The sequence below is a fragment of the Homo sapiens genome, chromosome 18 (genome assembly GCF_000001405.40).
Source record: "Homo sapiens chromosome 18, GRCh38.p14 Primary Assembly".
Taxonomy (NCBI): Eukaryota; Metazoa; Chordata; class Mammalia; order Primates; family Hominidae; genus Homo; species Homo sapiens.
The window spans coordinates 75,586,705-75,604,981 of NC_000018.10; positions in this window are offsets into that span (position 1 = coordinate 75,586,705).

Consider the following 18,277-nt stretch of genomic DNA (forward strand, 5'->3'; position numbering starts at 1 on the left):
TGCATCTATTTGGCTTGGATGGAAAATTAGAACAGCTTTAATCTGCTACCAGCATCAAGCAGGGAAGCACTCCCTGGAGTGAGGAGTTGGGAGCATCACAGCGGGCTCTGATGAAGGCGGCTGCTATGGTGTCAATCCAGGCAGCAGAGCTCCAGTAGCAAGGAGGGTGCTGGCTTGTTTTAAAGAAAGCATATTATATTTGAGGGGGGTGGAGGTGGGGGGAAATAATCATTATACTGAACTTTTCCAGAGCTGAGTAGCTGCATCATGGAAAAATACAAACAGGGATTGCTTTTTTTTGTTTTTGTTTTTGTTTTTCCTGGGTGCCCACATCAGTGGGGATAATGGAACTGAGGTCTTTAAAAACGGACACGTAGTGCAGTTCGGTCAGATGAGCATTTTAGATTTTAGTAATTAGTAGTTAGGGCTTGATGAAGTGTAGGAGGTAGGAGGGAAGCAAGTCTATTTTAGGAGATTAGAGTGATAAGGCCTTTGCATGTTTTTATCAGTTCATGTAGAATTTGACATATGGTAAACAGGAAAAGATAGTATTTAAAACTCCCATAAATACACAGGGTGGAAAAAAAAAAAAAACCAAAGTAGAGAAAGGAATGCCTGCCAGCAGCACTCCCCCTTGGCTTCAATAGTAGGGTAGCAGGAAAGGGCTACATATCATTGTGCGAACCGGATCCGGCAATACAGAAAGTCAGCAACTGAGGATCCTAGATGGCACGTTAATTAATTCCAGCCAGTTGTGCCCAAGTTCACCAGGCTCCATTTGGCATCGCCCACTGGTCTCTATATTTGGAATCATGAACTTCGATAATACTCCCCACTCTCAGGGAAGCCAAATTCTAGGTTGACTTGATTTGTCACATTCCTTTGTTTTATAGCTTTCTGTCAAAACCCCCCAAATTAATGCAATGCTATGTTGACTGTTTTGTTTCTTAATGCAATGAAACTGTCTTGAAATTACAGTTGGATAGAGTTTTTTAGAAATTTGCATTGACATCATAATCAGATCATAATGAAACTGTGGTGGAGTCTCATAGCTTTGCATGGACGTATCTATTGTCAAGGTATGGTATTAAAAGTCTTTTATGTGATTTTTAATGTGATTTTTTTACTGAATTATTTTTTAAAGTGTCAAGGCACACATAGGCATCATAAACAAATGACATCAGCTTCTGTTGCCTAAAAAAAATCTAGTTAGATATTGGGTGAGCCTAACTCAGGCTTATTGTGAGGCCAAAAATGATATTTGATGAGAAAGTGCTTTGGAAAGTTAAAAGTATTCAGAAAATATTAAACCCAGAACAAAGTATTTTTGGTAAGTGAGTAATAATGGCAGTGTAAAATAGTTCATTTTGACTGGAGCTAATTCAGTATTACAGGAAATTCTCACTATATATCTTCCAAGTAAAAGTTTCCATCTTTCTTTGAGACAGGAAATTGTACCACAATGAAATATGGAAAAGAAAAGATTTTATTTTTAGTATAACCAAATCATGTTAAAGTACTGTACTAAAATTCAACAATGTCTTTATATATGTGTGTATATGAAAATACCTCTACTAAATAGCGGGTAAAAACAAACACATACTCACTATTTCTTTACCTAATATAATTGTAGCCAGCAGGATCTTTTGTTATTAGTTTCATTTTCCTTTTCCTCTTTTGGAAGGCATTAGCCGCATTTTCTTTGGTGAAAATGGAAAAGAACCTTCCAGTAGATTATGCCGTGGGTCTAATGTTGTTTCTGGAGCAGACACTGGCTGGCGACCCTATCTGCTGCCACCCTTGGGCCTGATGGTGGCTGATGAGTGGCTAATGACGCCTGTAGGCGTGTGGAGCTCTGCCTTGGATCACAGGACCAGGTGGGGGCGTGCTAGAGAATTCCACGGGGCCTCATCCTCTGTACGTGTCTCACGCGTGCTCCAGCTGTGGCCGTTTCCCCAGAGAGTCACATCTCAGGTGAAATAGGGGAGGGGGGGAACACGCGGCTTTCCTCGTCTAACTTCCAAATGTTCTATATCATTATAATCACGTGAGTTATCTACGTCATCTAAGTTGGCCATCACAGCGTGTAAGAATTAGTTTCTATTTTCTTAAGATAAACAAATGATTTGGATCCTGAGTGATCAAAAGAAATCCCCAGTAATTCTGAAGGCCGCGTAAACAGCGAACGAAAGGAGAGAGGGAAAATGATCCCGGCCGCCTGGAAGCGAGAGGCAGCCACAGACACACTGTTCCGGAAACCGCAGGATGTAACTGGGGAGTCCTGGAGAGTGACTAGAACCGGAAAGGGGGCAGACGCTTTGAGGGAGGCAGGCGGGGGAACAAACGGGCTGCAGCCAGCAGGCTGGGCCGAGGTTCCGGGGGACATTTGTCCCGGGTGTTGAAGCAAGCTGGCTCCTGGCCGCTTACCTAGTATCCTGTGAACTCTCACATGGCATCGTCAGGAACGAAGCGCAGCCATTCAGTCAAAGCGGCCGGCTGGAGAGGCAACAAGCAGGTGCAGCTGTAGCCGTAACAAAGACCCTCAAGCTTTGAATGATTTGCTGGGCTATAGAAATGTATATCACAATAGGCTTGTAATCTCAGCACTTTGGGAGGCCGAGGCGGGTGGATCACCTGAGGTCAGGAGTTTGAGACCAGCCTGGGCAACATGGCGAAACCCTATCTCTAGTAAAAATACAAAAATTAGCCGGACGTGGTGGTGGGTGCCCGCAGTCCCAGCTACTAGGGAGGCTAAGGAAAGCGAATTGCTTGAATTCCGGAGGCAAAGATTGCAGTGAGCTGAGATCACCCCACTGCACTCCAGCCTGGGCCACAGAGCGAGACTCCATCTCAAAAAAAAAAAGAAAGAAAGAAAAAGAAAAGAAATATATATCAAAATAGGGAGATGAGTTGATTTAATTTAGGGTAAGTAGGTAGAAGTTTTATTTGACAATTATTTAACAATAATAATAGCGATAGGGTTATTGTCAATAACCCAATTATTATTGTCAAATAATTGTTTTTATTTGACAATAATTGTCAAATAATACTTAATTTTAAAATACTTTTAATTATGGCATTGTCAAATAATACTTAATTTATAATGGACAACAGTTTTTTGCCTCCAAATTAGATGAATTGATCAGCATTGATATTTTAAGTTATAAATTAAAATCTCAGGTCATAGCTACATGACACCCAGCAACTGGTTAGTTCAACACATTCACATTGATACGATATTACAAACAATTAGTCTAGCAATTTATTGTGGCCTAACTAGTTTGTCAGCTGTTTTGAAAAGCACCGTTTTTGTTTTGGAAATCAATTAATTGATTCAAAACACTTAAAGCGGTTGTTATCTCCCCTCTCATAAGGAAATTTGCATTCCCTCAAATTAGCAACATTGAATTACTCACAACAGTCCTATGAGGTATATGGCCAAACACAGATACTGGAGCATTCATTAATTTAATAAGCAACCTCATATTGAGAGTTCGTCGTATGAGGCACTGAGATAAGCCCTGGATAATTTTCAGGCATGTATGCTTATACTATCATTTCTAAAACTAATATTCACTTGGCAACTATGCTACTGATCTTGTCCTTCTAAACTTAATTCTGTGGCATTGTCAAATAAAACCATATAATTGGAAAAAGTAGCCTATCCAACTACACATAAAATTATATTGAAGTCACAGCCTGTGCAACTTGTTTCCCAAGGACCTAGTCTTCATTAATTGTTCTGTTAAAAAGAATAAACAAAATCTACTGATTCCTTGATACAATCTTTAAAGTGTCTGTATATTTGATTATATTTCTGATTATTAATATATTTAAAGCTAATCAAAATAGAAAGAATTGTGTAAAAAACTCCATGTTTATCTATCATTTATCTTCAACAATTATCAAGTTGTGATCCAACTCATTTCATCCATATCTTCTACCTACTTCCCCACTCCAGATTTTTTTAAACTTGTAGAGGAATTATAACATTCACTGTTTACTATCATCTACAACGTTTTTGTGCTAAAATATCTATAACAAAAATTTCTATTAGTGACATACACGATGTTTTGCAACAATCTCGGCTATCTAGTTCCAATACTTTTCATTTCGCTAAAAGGAAGCTCTGCAAGCATTAAGCAATCGCTTCCCATTCCTGCCTCCCTCAGGCCCTGGGAATCACAGATATGCTTTATCTCTATGAATTGGCCGCCTCTGGATATTTCATGTGGATGGAATCATACCACATACAGCCTTTTGTGTCTGGCTTCTTTCACTTAGCATAATGTTTTGAAGGTTCATCCATACTGCAGCATGTATCAGAATTTCCATCCTTTTCATAGCTTAAGAATAGTTCAGGCCGGGCGTGGTGGCTCACGCCTGTAATCCCAGCACTTTGGGAGGCCGAGGCGGGCGGATCACGAGGTCAGGAGATCGAGACCATCCCGGCTAAAACGGTGAAACCCCGTCTCTACTAAAAATACAAAAAATTAGCCAGGCGTAGTGGCGGGCGCCTGTAGTCCCAGCTACTTGGGAGGCTGAGGCAGGAGAATGGCGTGAACCCGGGAAGCGGAGCTTGCAGTGAGCCGAGATCCCGCCACTGCACTCCAGCCTGGGCGACAGAGCGAGACTCCGTCTCAAAAAAAAAAAAAAAAAAAAAAAAAAAGAATAGTTCACTGTACTGTGTTTCATATTTTGTTTATTCATCAGCTGATGGACATTTGGGATGCTTTGAGTTTTTTACTCTTGTGATGAGTGCTGCTGTGACATTTGTGTAGAGACTTTAGTTTGAACACCTGTTTTCAATTATTAAGGTATATACATAAGAGTGAAACTATTGAGTCGTATGGTAATTCTATGTTTAACTTACTGAGGAACTGCCACACGTTTTTCAACAGTGGCTGCACCATTTTACATTTCCATCAGCAATGGACAAATGTTTCAGCTTCTCCACATCCTCACCAACATTCATTTTGCATTATTTTCTGTTATTTTAGCTATCCCAGTGTGCGTAAAGTGGTATCTCATTGTGGTTTTGGTTTACATTTTCTGATGGCTGATGATATTAAATCTCTTATGTCATTATTGATCATTTCTATATTTTCTTTAGAGACTTGTCTTTTTATTATTGAATTATTAGAGCTTTTTTGTATATTCTGGATACCCTTGATCAGCATTGATATTTCAGTTATAAGTTGATATCAGGATTTGCAAATGTTTTCTCCCATTCTATCAATTGTGCTTTCACTCTCTTGGTGTGTCTTTTAAAGCACAGAAGAAGGTATGTGCTTTTAATTTTGATTAAGTCCAATTTATTTATCATTTCTTAAAATACTGGCGTTTTTGGTGCAATGTCTAAGAAACCATTGCTTAATACAAGGTCAGGAAGATTTATGCCTGTTTTTTTCTAAAAGTTGTATAGTTTTAGCTCTTACAATAAGGTCTTTGATCCATTTTGGTGTCAATTTTTGTTATATATTATGAAGCAGGGATCCAAACTAATTCTTTTGCATGTGGATATCTAGCTCTTCCAGCACAATGTGTTGAAAAGGCTATTCTTTCCCCTTTGCACAGTCTTGTCACCATTGTTAAAAATCAATTGACTATAGGTGTATTTTTTTTTCTGGATTCTTAATTCTATTCCATTGATCTAATCCTTTTGGGGTGAACATAGATATAAACATGTATTTTCTTAACAAAATGTATCATGAGCTCTTATTAATACTTCCAATTTAAGTTCAGGACTACAGTGTTCTCACTCAATCTCACAGGCAGCATGTATACCTCTTTTAGCCTATGCTGACAATTCCAGTTCTTAATGACAGCAACACAATTACTTACTTGCTTTATCTGACATACACGTACAAAAGTTTCAGAATAACAATGCAAAGCTTACCACCAAGAATATAATAACTAAAAAAGTTATTGAAATATATTTTCACTAAGAACCCTAGGTTGACACTTTTAACCTTCAGTATTTTGAAGATGCTATTCCACTGTCTTCCAGCTTGCATTGTTTTCAGTGAGAAATCTGCTGTCATCTTTATTTTTGTTCTTATTTATGTAATGCGACATTTCTATCTGTCTCATTTGAAAACTTTATCCCTGGTTTTAAGTAATTTGATGATGATGTGCTCTGATGTAGTAGCTTGGGCTTTCTCTGATTCTTGGGTCTATAGGTTTATAGTGTGTATCAAATTTGGAAAATTTTCGTCCATTATTTTTTCAAATATATTTTCTTCACTCCTCACCATCTCTTTGGGAACTAAAATTACACAAATCGTAGGCCACTTGAGGTTGTCTCACAGCTCACAACTCTTTCCTTGTTTTTAAATTATTTTTTCTCTGTGTTTCATTTTAGATAGTTTCTATTACTATGTCTTCAAGTTCACTAATCTTTTCTTCTTCATGTGATATATTGTTAAACCTATTCAGTGTACTTTTAAATCTCAGGTAATATGTTTTCATCTCTAGCAGTTTAATTTACATCTTTTTTACATCATTCATGTTTCAACTTCAGATGTTTGATTTTTCCTGTAATATTCTGAGCACATGGGATAAAATTTTAATTATTGTTTTAATGTTCTTATCTACTGACTCTATCATCTGAATCATTTCTGGATTAGTTTTTCTTGATTGGCTTTCTCCTAATTGTGGGCTGTGTATTTATTATTCTCTGCACACCTGGGAACTTTTTATTGGATGCCTTTCATTGTGATTTTTTTTTTTCATCTTTGGCTACTGGGTATTTCTTTATTCCAAAAAAAATCAGGAGCTTTATTCTGGGAAGTGGTTAAGCTACTGGGGTTACTTTTATCTTTATGAATCTTGCTTTTAAGCTCTGATTAGGAGGACTAGAGTAGTGTAGTGTTTAATCTAGGGCCAGTTTTGCCTTACTACTGAGGCAAACCCTTTTAACTACTCTCCCCAATGTCAATGAATTAAGAGATTTCTTCTTAGGCTGACAGGAACAAGCACTACTCTCAGCTCTGTGTGAGCCCTTAGGCTTATTCCCTCTTATTCTATTGATTTCCCCCTCAGTTTTGGAAAGTTTCCTCACATGCATGCATTGATCATCACTTAGCTGAATGCTCAAGAGGACTTTTCTGCTGCATACTTGCAGGGCGCCCTCAGATCTGTAGTGCTCTCACTCTGCGACCTTGTTCTCTCTGCTCTGCTCCTCTGCCTGCAAACTCTAGCTGCTTTGGCTTCTGTGATAGGCTAAATAATGGCCACACTCTCCTCTACCATGCAAAAATGTCCACATCCTAAACCCGGGAACCTGTAAATATGTTACCTTAAATGACAAAAAAAGCACTCTGTAAATGTGACTAAATTAAGGCTCTTAAGATGAGGAGATTATCCTGGATTCTCCAGGTGAGCCCAATATAATACTATGGGTCCTTGTAAGAGGGAGAGAGGCTGGAGAGTCAGAGACAGAGAAAGGGATTAGAAGGTGTTATGCTGCTGGTTTACAAGATGGAGGAAGGGGCCAAAAGACAAAGAATGCAGGAACCCTCTAGAAGCTGCAAAGGACAGGAAAACAGGTGCTTCCTTCAAGTCCCTGGGAGGAACACAGGCTTGCTGATACATTTTAGACTTCTGACTTCCAGAATTGTAGCTTATAAATTTGTTTTATTTTAAGGCAGTAAATTTATGGTAATTTGTTACCACAACATTAGGAAACTAATACAGTCTCTTTGAGCTCCCTGGCTTATCACCTCAGTACACAAAGACTTATGGGTGCCCCCTTTCCTCCCTTGCCTTGAATGACTGCCTGAAGACTCTCCCCAGGCAGCAAGCTGGGCAACTGTAGGGCCCGTCACTTGGTTTCCCATTTCACAGAGGTTGGTCTCCTTTGCTACCAGATGATGTCCAGTGTTTTCAGAATAATCAATTTCTAAATTGTGTCCAGTTTTTTTCAGTTGTTTCAGATGGGAGGGAAAATTCAGTCCCTGTCACTCCATCATGGCCATAAAAGGGAAGCCACCTGTAATAGCCACACAGAAAAGGCGTGGCTGTATTAGTCCATTTTCACACTGCTATAAAGAACTGCCAGAGACTGGGTAATTTATAAAGGAAAGAGGTTTAATTGGCTCACAGTTTCTCAAGGCTGGGGAGGCCTTAGGACACTTACAATTGTGGTGGAAGGTGAAGGAGAAGCCAGTACCTTCTTCACAAGGCAGCAGGAAAGAGAGGGGCAGGGGAAATGGCCCCTTATAAAACTAACAGATCTCGTGAGAACTCACTCACTGTCACAAGAACAGCATGGGGGAAACCAACCTCATGATCCAATCAACTCCCACCAGTTCCCTCCCTTGAAACATGGGGATTACAGTTTGAGATGAGATTTGAGTGGGGACACAAAGCCAAACTGTATCAGTCCCTATGCCACAAATTTGATACACAGTGAGATACACATTGACATGTCACTTTATAATGTTCGTGATTTTTAAATTGAATTTAACTTTCCTGTGTTGTTAAATATTTTTAAAGTTATTTAATTTTCTAGCTTAGCTTTCCTTGTTCAAGGTAAGATCTCTGAATGCAAGAAAAATAGTTATTCTCTATCAGATGCCTAAATACCTAGATCAAAGAGAGTAATTTTCTATTGCTGGAAAATACTGACAACATAATATTTTGCTAAAATCTGAACTTGGGAACAAAGACCATCCCTTCACAACAGGTTCATTATTATTATAGCTGTTGAGAAATATACATTTCTGAAAATTTGGGGTGTCTCATTGACAAAATATTTCTACATTAATAATAGCAGATTTGACTCTCTTTTTCAAAAATACCAATATCGGAAGTCTTTTCTGCCCTCTACCACCCCAGCATCAGTTTTGTTAGTCTTCCTCTCCTTCTTCTCCATCTACCTTTATGTGCCTAAGAACACGTCAACCACTTTCATGGAATTAATTATTCAGCCTGTTCAGTCACAGGATCATATTCTCGACCCTGTCACTAAATAAAGCAACACCCTTATGCCAATTAAAGCAACTTACCTACTTGTGAAGTTGGCCACAGCCCTCTTGGTTTAGGCATTAAAGACTTGTAAAGGCAACACCAAGGCATTTGAACACCTGGTTCATTCTACATCATGATCCTAGGCTTTAGTAACTAATTGAATTGACAATTATGATGTTAAACTCCATGACTGGGTAAGGAAATAAAGGCTGATTTAGAAACAAACACAAGCACTAATCTCCACGTGATTTCAAAAGTCAGGTTGTTTTCCCTTATAAATTTTTATTGGTATTCCTTTCCCCCCGACCAGTTTTTTTCTAAGTTTGGAATATTTTCTGATAAAATACAGGCCTGTCTGTCTTTTATGCTCCATCTAGTTTTGGAGAATAGACAGGACCCTTGAAGGTACTCTGTTTGAAATTGTGTGTAATAAGAATAAAGAGTCAATGCCATTCTTAGCACACTAAAAAGTTTAAAATGTCCTCAACAAGGCACAGTGGCACATTCTATAATTAAATGCCAGAAGGCAGTAAAATGTATTAATTACTGCAGTTGATACAACTGAGAATTTGCTTGCCATCCATTTAAAAATATGGACTATTCATTATGCTTTAGGAAGAATTAAAGGAGAACAGTATTGTTTATGGAAAAGAAGTAACAGGGAACAACAGCCTCTCTGTCGCATATGTTTACTTGTATGCCTGCAAACTCCAGTGCAACCCGTTTGGGGATCCCTCACACGACAATGAGCTTTATTTATAATCTGATAAAATCCTTAGAAATTAGCTATTTATGCTTTTGTCTTATCACATGGTTCCCACTCTCATCTTGTTTGAAAGTCAAAATCAGACCTTCATGGCACCAGAACGAATCTTTGATCTATGCAGCTCTTAACTGATGCTGAGATGCATGATATTAATTTCTTTCTTGCATGCGTTTTACTGTTCCTGGAAATTTGTTTGACAAATTGTTGTAAGTGTAATTTTCAACCAGAAAGATAAAGTCTTATGTAAGCTATTGGATCAGTCTACATACATTTTTTGCAAGATCTTAATAAAATATTGGCAAGTGTTATTTTTAAATGCATATTCAAAAATATACACTTAACCTTTTGTACTCTTATTTGGGAAAGAACCAATAAGAATACTCTCCTTTTTCTTAAATATATATTTAAAAGTATTCATTACTCTTTTTATGTTTTTTGTCTCCTATGATCCATTGACTTTATTGCTTAAAAATGATTTTTATTATTGTGTATGATAACTTCTTGTGTTTCTCACAAACTTAAAGGCAATTTTAACACTTTGGGTTTTTTCCCACCAAAAGTTTCTGCAAGCTATTTACATAATATTCAACCCATATTACTTTGATTATCAAAACAGAACTTGGTCTGTATTGTATTACACATCCTCTTAGCATTAAACAACTCATTTATTATTACTAAGAATTATCGTCTTTTTGGAATTTCTAGATTCTCATTTTTATATCATAATACTGAGTTGTGTTCTATATAAAAATGTGAAATGGAAGAATTTAGAGGAGAACCATAAATATTACTTTATGATCAGGACTTCTGTAGAAAGCTAAAGAGTAGCATATTAAAGAGGGGAATGTTAAGATGCCATGGCAATTCTGTTAGCACTTTGTTCACGGTCCCACAAATGCAGTCCTGTATCACGGCACACACACTCACCAACAGGTTCTCCCTTGTTCCTGTATGTCAGTGCACACAGCCGGAGCCTGCTGTGGGTAAGCCCTGGCATTTTTGACAATCTCTTTGCCATAATTTTGAGTTCCTTTCTGCTACTTTTATTTCCCTCCATAATTGCCTCATTACACCTTTTTTGAGGAATTATTTTAATTACATACCGACTAATTTTACAATGGATTCATAGGTAACATAGAGATATCCACTAGCTTCTGCAAAGAAAGCAGAACTGGTTTTAAACAACTGAATATAAATTTTAAGTTATCAGCAAATAAACCTTCCACCCCAGAAGTGCTTTTCTTCCAATTCCTTTGGGATTTTACTGGCATCACCTCTTATGTGATAGCACGTAATCGCCAGTGGAGGATGAAAATAAGTTTTCCACCTCATCCTGGAAATTTCTTTTCCAGTACTTAATTGATTAAATCACCTGTCTTGTCCTTGCATTATTCTGGAAATGGGAGAATCAGGGCTGCTGAGTCATAAGGTGTCACTAGAAAATGACAGCTGCTCACATTGGTGGAAACTGGACAGGAGCAGCCTTCCCTCTGCAATGCAGGCGTTGCCACAACAGCAACAGGGTTCTCTGCTCACTGAGGACAGCGAGAGGCTCCATTTCAGCCTCTGCTTCTCCTCCCCAGGGCACTTGTCTACAGAGCACAACCTTCACAATATGTGGGAAGTATGGTTTTTTCTTGTTCTTAATGAGTTTCTATTTTTACAGCCCCATTTTGCCTCATTATAAATAGGGCCTAAATCCAGCCATGTCCCAAATTAAGGTAAACTTTGCCAGTATGATTCTAGTGATAATTTCCTTTTTTTCTCTTTTTCTTTCATGCCTCCTCTTCCCTGTAAGTTATTATCAGCAGCTTTAACCTTGGGCCTATGGAGAATTGCATGGAGAAGCTGAGCTGTGATCATCCAGCATACAGTGGGTCTAAATTGCAACCCCTCCACCCTGAGCCCTACATCTGGATTTATATTTTTGTTTATTTCAAGGGCAAAGAGGCACCAAATTGATCCTAAGTCAATCATGTAAAAATTATATGCAGGCCACACAATTACATCTATGATCTTTATATGATTGTTGAAGCCAAAGTTTGAGTTACAAAGAATAATATCCATGATCCTTCACCCTCCACCAAGGGTTCATGAGGGTTACACAAAGGAAGAGCAGAAGGAATGCACAGAGCAAGAGCAACAGCCATGTGCAAAACCTGAAGCCTGGGAGCTGATGAGAGACGTTGCATGAAATATTTTGTTGACCTTTGTTTTTTTCTTCCATTGGAAATAGATTCAGCCTGTTTGCTAAAAATATGTAATGGTTCAAAAATTCAAACAATAAAGAGAAGCAAAAAGCAAAATGCGAGGTTAAAAAATATCACATGTGAGACTCTGCTGCCATGAGATGACCACTGTGGACAGCCACGTAGACATTCTTCCAGAGCTCTCTCTATAATCACACACGTATGTGCTCACATGCATGCCTACACTCACAAACACATGCACACGCACTTACTGAAACGGAGTTACACTGTACATGCACAGTACATGGACACAACTTTAGGTTTTCATGTCAATAAGTACCTAACTCCTTGTGTTGCATAATTAACATATTTACAGGTTTTTTAAATGAAGAGTATTGATCTGTCTATTCTTATGTCATTATTATGCTATTTTAATCACTAAAGTTTTACAACCTATTTTAATAACCTCATTTTTTTCAAGGCTCTGGGTTTTATTAATTCTGAGGACATATATGGCATAATTTTATGTAAAACATCTACTTCATTTGCAATAATCTTAGATCCCTACAAGTTGCACGTGGGAGCTAAGCATATTCTTTAGAAAATGGATCTGTTCCTCTTTTGTCAATATAGTATTTCCAATCATTCTTCCTCTATAGACTTCAGAATTGATCATTGCATTTTCTCTCTTTTCTAAGTTTCTGTAAAACCTGTAATAATACAAGATGAATAAAATGGTAAGCAAACAACAAAAATAATCAAACCAAACTAAAATAATGAAAACAAAATATGACTGTATTGTTACAAGCTATCATGAATCAATAGTTTTCTTTTACTTCGTTGCAAGAGCTATCACCTACTTTGATGATATTTTGTATTCATTAGTTTAAGAGTGGATTGTATTCCAAAAATAAAAAGCCCAAAGTGATCAATACAGTTGTATTGTAAATAACTTACCAAAGCTTATAAAATTACATAAAGTCAGGGAGAGAACACTTTTATCAAATGTTTTAATAATTGAAAGTGAGCCACACCATGTACTTTTCTGCCCTTTTAACAGAATGTAACATTGAGACGTACAAAGGGATTCTATTTTAAGCATAGACACATTTTGGTATAAGAGATTTATTTAAAAATAAATTTGTGTCTATGGGGCTCAAGGATATCTGCTCTATTACAAAAGTTGGAATACCTCCCAAACCAAAGAAGAGATATTTCACTCCTCTGTGGAAACCAGACTTGGACGTTGCCTTTCACTATTGATACTGGAAACTGACTGGGGCCATGCTCATATCTGGGATGTAGTGAGGATGTGAGGGGCTGAGAGCTCACATGCTTCTTCTCCTAATCTCCTTGTTCAGTTCTGACTTTGATCCTGAGCTGAGCACACACAGGAGACATGATGAAAATTCCCAAGGTGCAATTGAATCCTGTGGATTTCCTATGAATGTCAGAGGATTCATATTCTTTTAATACGAATCCTGTGGATGAATGTCTGAGCCCTTTAAGATTATCAGACAACCTAGGGTAAAAGAGACTTATGTAAAACTTCATGTGGATCCTGAAGGCATTTTTCAGGAGTTAAATTAGAATTGAGGAATATATGGTCAGTCCGAATTCCCATTCTCACTGGTTGCATCTGTTGCATTCTGCTTTAAAATCACAAAGGGGAGTAAAATTAAAGAAACTGTGCAAATATGGAGACAAGTACTCCCATCTTGCTGTCTTCTACATTCTTCCTGCAAAACCCAGCTCACATTCTGATCTGCCTCAAAAACTTCCCTATGACACCATCTCTCTAATTTTAAAGTTTCTACCCTAATTACTGTCAATATGACAGAGTTTGTCCAAATCTGTTTTCCAATTGTTTTAAGTACATTGATTTTATTGCCCCACCTGGACTATAAACTTTTAAAGTCTGCAACTATGAATTTTTTTTTAATTGCCCATAATGCTCAGTGTAGCACTACGCAAACAGAGGGCCTTAATATATACTCATTAATTGAAAGATGTGTAGAAACTCCAAGTGTTTATACTTAATGGATACTGGAAGTTTCCAATCATCAGGAGAAAAAAATCCCAGAAATAACTAGAATCAGTTGATTGTGACCAATAAATTAAAATCGGTGCCCAAGACAAATTAATTGATCAATGATGAATTTCTTAGGAAATGCTGTAGCCAGTGGACTCTGTTAGACCTAATTATAAACTGGACTGGTTACTTCTCCTACAGTACTTCTGTCTTCACACTGAGAGTTGCTGCCATTTTTTGGACCCAAATATAACTGTCAGGCCACATTGAGATTGTAGGTGAGATTGGAGAATTTGTGTTTAGAATGACCCCTATTAAAATGTTAGATTTCTTCCAATAGTCAACAGCCCTATTATAAGAACAGATAAAGTGGATGTCTGAATTGATCCAAATTTTTTTATGGGAAAAAGAAAGAAATCAAAGCTTAGCACTATAGAAAACTACCAAACCAAAAAGTAAACAATAAGAGAGGAAGAAAGGAACACAATATATACACAACAACAGAAAACAATTCATAAAAAGCTAGAAGTAAGTGGTTATCTATCAATAATAACCATGCATGTAAAAGGATTAAATTATCCAATTAAAGGATACACAATGGCTGAATAGATTTATTCTAAAAAAAGACTTAACTATATGCTCCTTACAAGAGACATACTTCACCTGTAGAAGCACACATAGACTGAATGGGATAGAAAAGGATATTCCATGAAAATGAAAACCAAAAAATAACAGAAACAGCTATAGTTATAATCACTTAAAATAGCCTTTAAGTTAAAAACTGTAAAAAGAGACAAAGAAGATCATAATATAGTGATGAGATCAATTCAGCAAGAGGATATATCAATTGTAAACATATATGCACCCAACACAAGAGCACCCAAATATATAAAGCAAATATTATTAGATCTAAAGGGAGAGTCGGAGTGCAATACAATAATAGTAGGAAACTTCAATACCACCCTTCAACACCACCCTTTCAGCAATAAACAAATCATCTCCAGACTAAAAATCAGCAAAGGAACATCAGATTTAAACTAACTTTCAGACTAAATGGGCCTAACAGACATTTACAAGACATTGCATTTATCAGTTACAGAATTCACATTCTTTTCAACTGCACATGGAACATTCTATAGCATAGATCATATATTAGGCTACAAAATAAGTCTTTGAAGACTTAAGAAGATTGAAATCATTATCAAGTATCTTTTCTGACTATAATGGTATAAAATGAGAAATCAATAACAGAAGGGACTTTGGAAACTTTACAAATACATGGAAATCAAAAACTATGTTCCTGAATAACCAATGGGGCATGAAGACATTAAAATAAAAATTAAAAATGTTATTGAGATAAATGAAAATGGAAACACAACATACCAAAACCAATGGGATACAATGAAAGCAGTTCTAAGAGAAAAATTTATAGCAATAAATGCCTACATCAAAAAAGGAGAAAGATCCAGTAAATGATCCAACATTGCACCTCAAGGCATTAGAAATATAAGAGCAAACTCAACCTAAAATTAGAAGGAAGGAAATAAAAAAGATCACAGCAGAAATGAATGAAAGAGACTAGAAAAGCAATACAAAACGTCAACAAAACAAGAGTTTGTTTTTTGGGAAGATAAATAAAGTTGACAAACCTGTCGCCTGACTAAGCAAAAAGAGAGAGGACTCAAATAAGTAAAATGAGATGAAGAAGGAGACTTTACAACTGCTACCACGGGAACATAAAGGATCTTCAGAGACTATCATGAACAATTTAAGTCAACAAATTGGATAAGTTAGAAGACATAGATAAATTCCTGGGCACATATAGTCTACAAAGATTGAAGCATGAAGAAATAGAAGGCCTGAACAGACCAAAAATGAGTGAGAAAATTGAATCAATAATAAGAAGTCTTCCATCAGAGGAAAATCCAGGAACTGATGGCTTCATTATTGAATTTTACCAAACATTTAAAGAAAAACTACTATCAATTTTTCTCAAACTATTTTGAAAAATTGAAGAGGAGGGAATTTTTCCTAAACCATACTATAAGACCAGCATTATATGGATAGTAAAACAAGTCAAGGACAACACACAAAAAGGAAACTGCAAACCAATATTCCTCATGAACATAAATGCAAAAATCATTAATACGGTATTAGCAAACCACATTCAATAGCACATTAGTGAGAGCATTCACCATGATAAAGTAGGATTCATCCCAGGAATTCATGAATGATTCAACATATGCAAGTCAATAGGCATGATACATCACGTTAACAGAATGAAGGACAAAAACCATATGATTATTTCAATAGCTGCAGAAAAAAACTTTTGACAAAATCTAACATCTCTTAATGACAAAAATCTCAACAAATTAGGTATAGAAGGAATGTAACCCAACATAATACAGGTCTTTAACACAAAACCACACCTAACATACTGAATGGGGAAAAGTTGAAAACATTTTTCAAAAGATCTGGAACAACACAAGGATATTTATTTTACCACTTCTATTCAATACAGTACTGAAAGTCCTAGCCAGAGCAATTACACAAAGAAAGAAATAGAAAGCATCCAAATTAGAAAGGAAGAAGTTAAATTGTCCCTGTTTGCAGATGACATAATCTTATGTAAAGAAAAGCCTATAGACTTCGCTAAAAACCTTTTAGATCTAATAAACAAATTCAGTAATGTTGCAGGGTACAAAATAAATATACAAAAATCTGCAGTGTTTCTATACACCAACAGCAAACTATCTGAAAAAGAAATCAAGAAAACAATCCCACTCATAGTATCTACCAAAAATATTCAAATACTTAGGAGTAAATTTAATGAATGAGGTTATAGATCTCTATGGTGAAAACTATAGAACATTTATGAAAGAAATTGAAGAAGGCACTAATAAATTGAAAGACATGTTGTGTTCATGGATTGAAAAACATGAATTTTTTTAAAAAGTACCTACTACCCAAAGCAATCTACAAATTCAATGCAATTCTTATCAAAATATTAATGACATTCTTCACAGAAATAAAAAAAGAATTTCTAAAATTTGTATGCAACCATAAAAAAACCCTGAATAGCCAAGGCAATCTTGAGCAAAAAGATACTATTTAGCCATAAAAAATAAAATCCTGTCATTTGCGACACCATGGATGAAACTAGAGATCATTATGTTAAGTGAAATAAGCCAGGCACAGAAAGATAAATATGACATGATCTCCCTCTTCTGTGAAAGGAAATGAGTTCTCATTTCTCTCCTGTGAGTTCAAAAAGTTGAACTCATAACGTGGAAAGTAGAATGGTGGTTCCTGGAGGCTGGGTGGCTATGGAGGAAAAGAGATGGGGAGACATTGGTCAAAGGATACATTAGAGAGGAGGAGAAGAAAAGTACAGAGTAAGTAAATATAGAGAGACACAAAGTAGATAAGTGATTGCAGTGATTGCCTGGGGTTGGGGGTGGCAGAAGGAGAGGGTCAGGGGCAGAAACTGGGATGAGTGCTAATTGTTTCTCTCTTGGATGATGGAAATGCTCTAAAATTGATTGCGGTGATGGTTGTACAACTCTGTGAACATACGAAAAAGCAGTGGATTATATATGCTTTAAATGGGTGAATTGTATGATATGTGAATTATATCTCAATAAAGCTGTTTAATAAATCAATAAATAAAACTGGGTTTTTGCCTGTCTGTTTTCTTTTGAAAGTTGTGATTAATGGACAGAGAGACAAGAGGCTTGTGCCTACAAGTAAAACATGGTTAAAAAGACAAACTGCATATATGGAAGGGGCCCAGTTTCAGTTTTCTGTGTAACTCAAGATGAATTAAAGACTTAAACGTAGGCCCTAAAGCCAAAAAAGCCCTAGAAGAAAACCTAAAAAATACCATTCAGGACATAGGCATGGTCAAAGACCTCATGACTAAAACACCAAATGCAATGGCAACAAAAGCCAAAATTGACAAATGGGATATAATTATATTAAAGAGCTTCTGCACAGCAAAAGAAACTACCATCAGAGTGAACAGGCAACCTACAGAATGGGAGAAAATTTTTGAAATCGATCCATCTGACAAAAGGCTAATATCCAGAATCTACAAAGAACTTAAATTTACAAGAAAAAAAAAACAAACAACCCCATCACACAGTGGGCAAAGGATATGAATAGGCACTTCTCAAAAGAAGACGTTTATGCAGCCAAAAAACATGAAGAAAAGCTCATCATCATGGGTCATTAGAGAAATGCAAATCAAAACCGCAATGGGATACCATCTCATGCCAGTTAGAATGGTGATCATTAAAAAGTCAGGAAACAACAGAT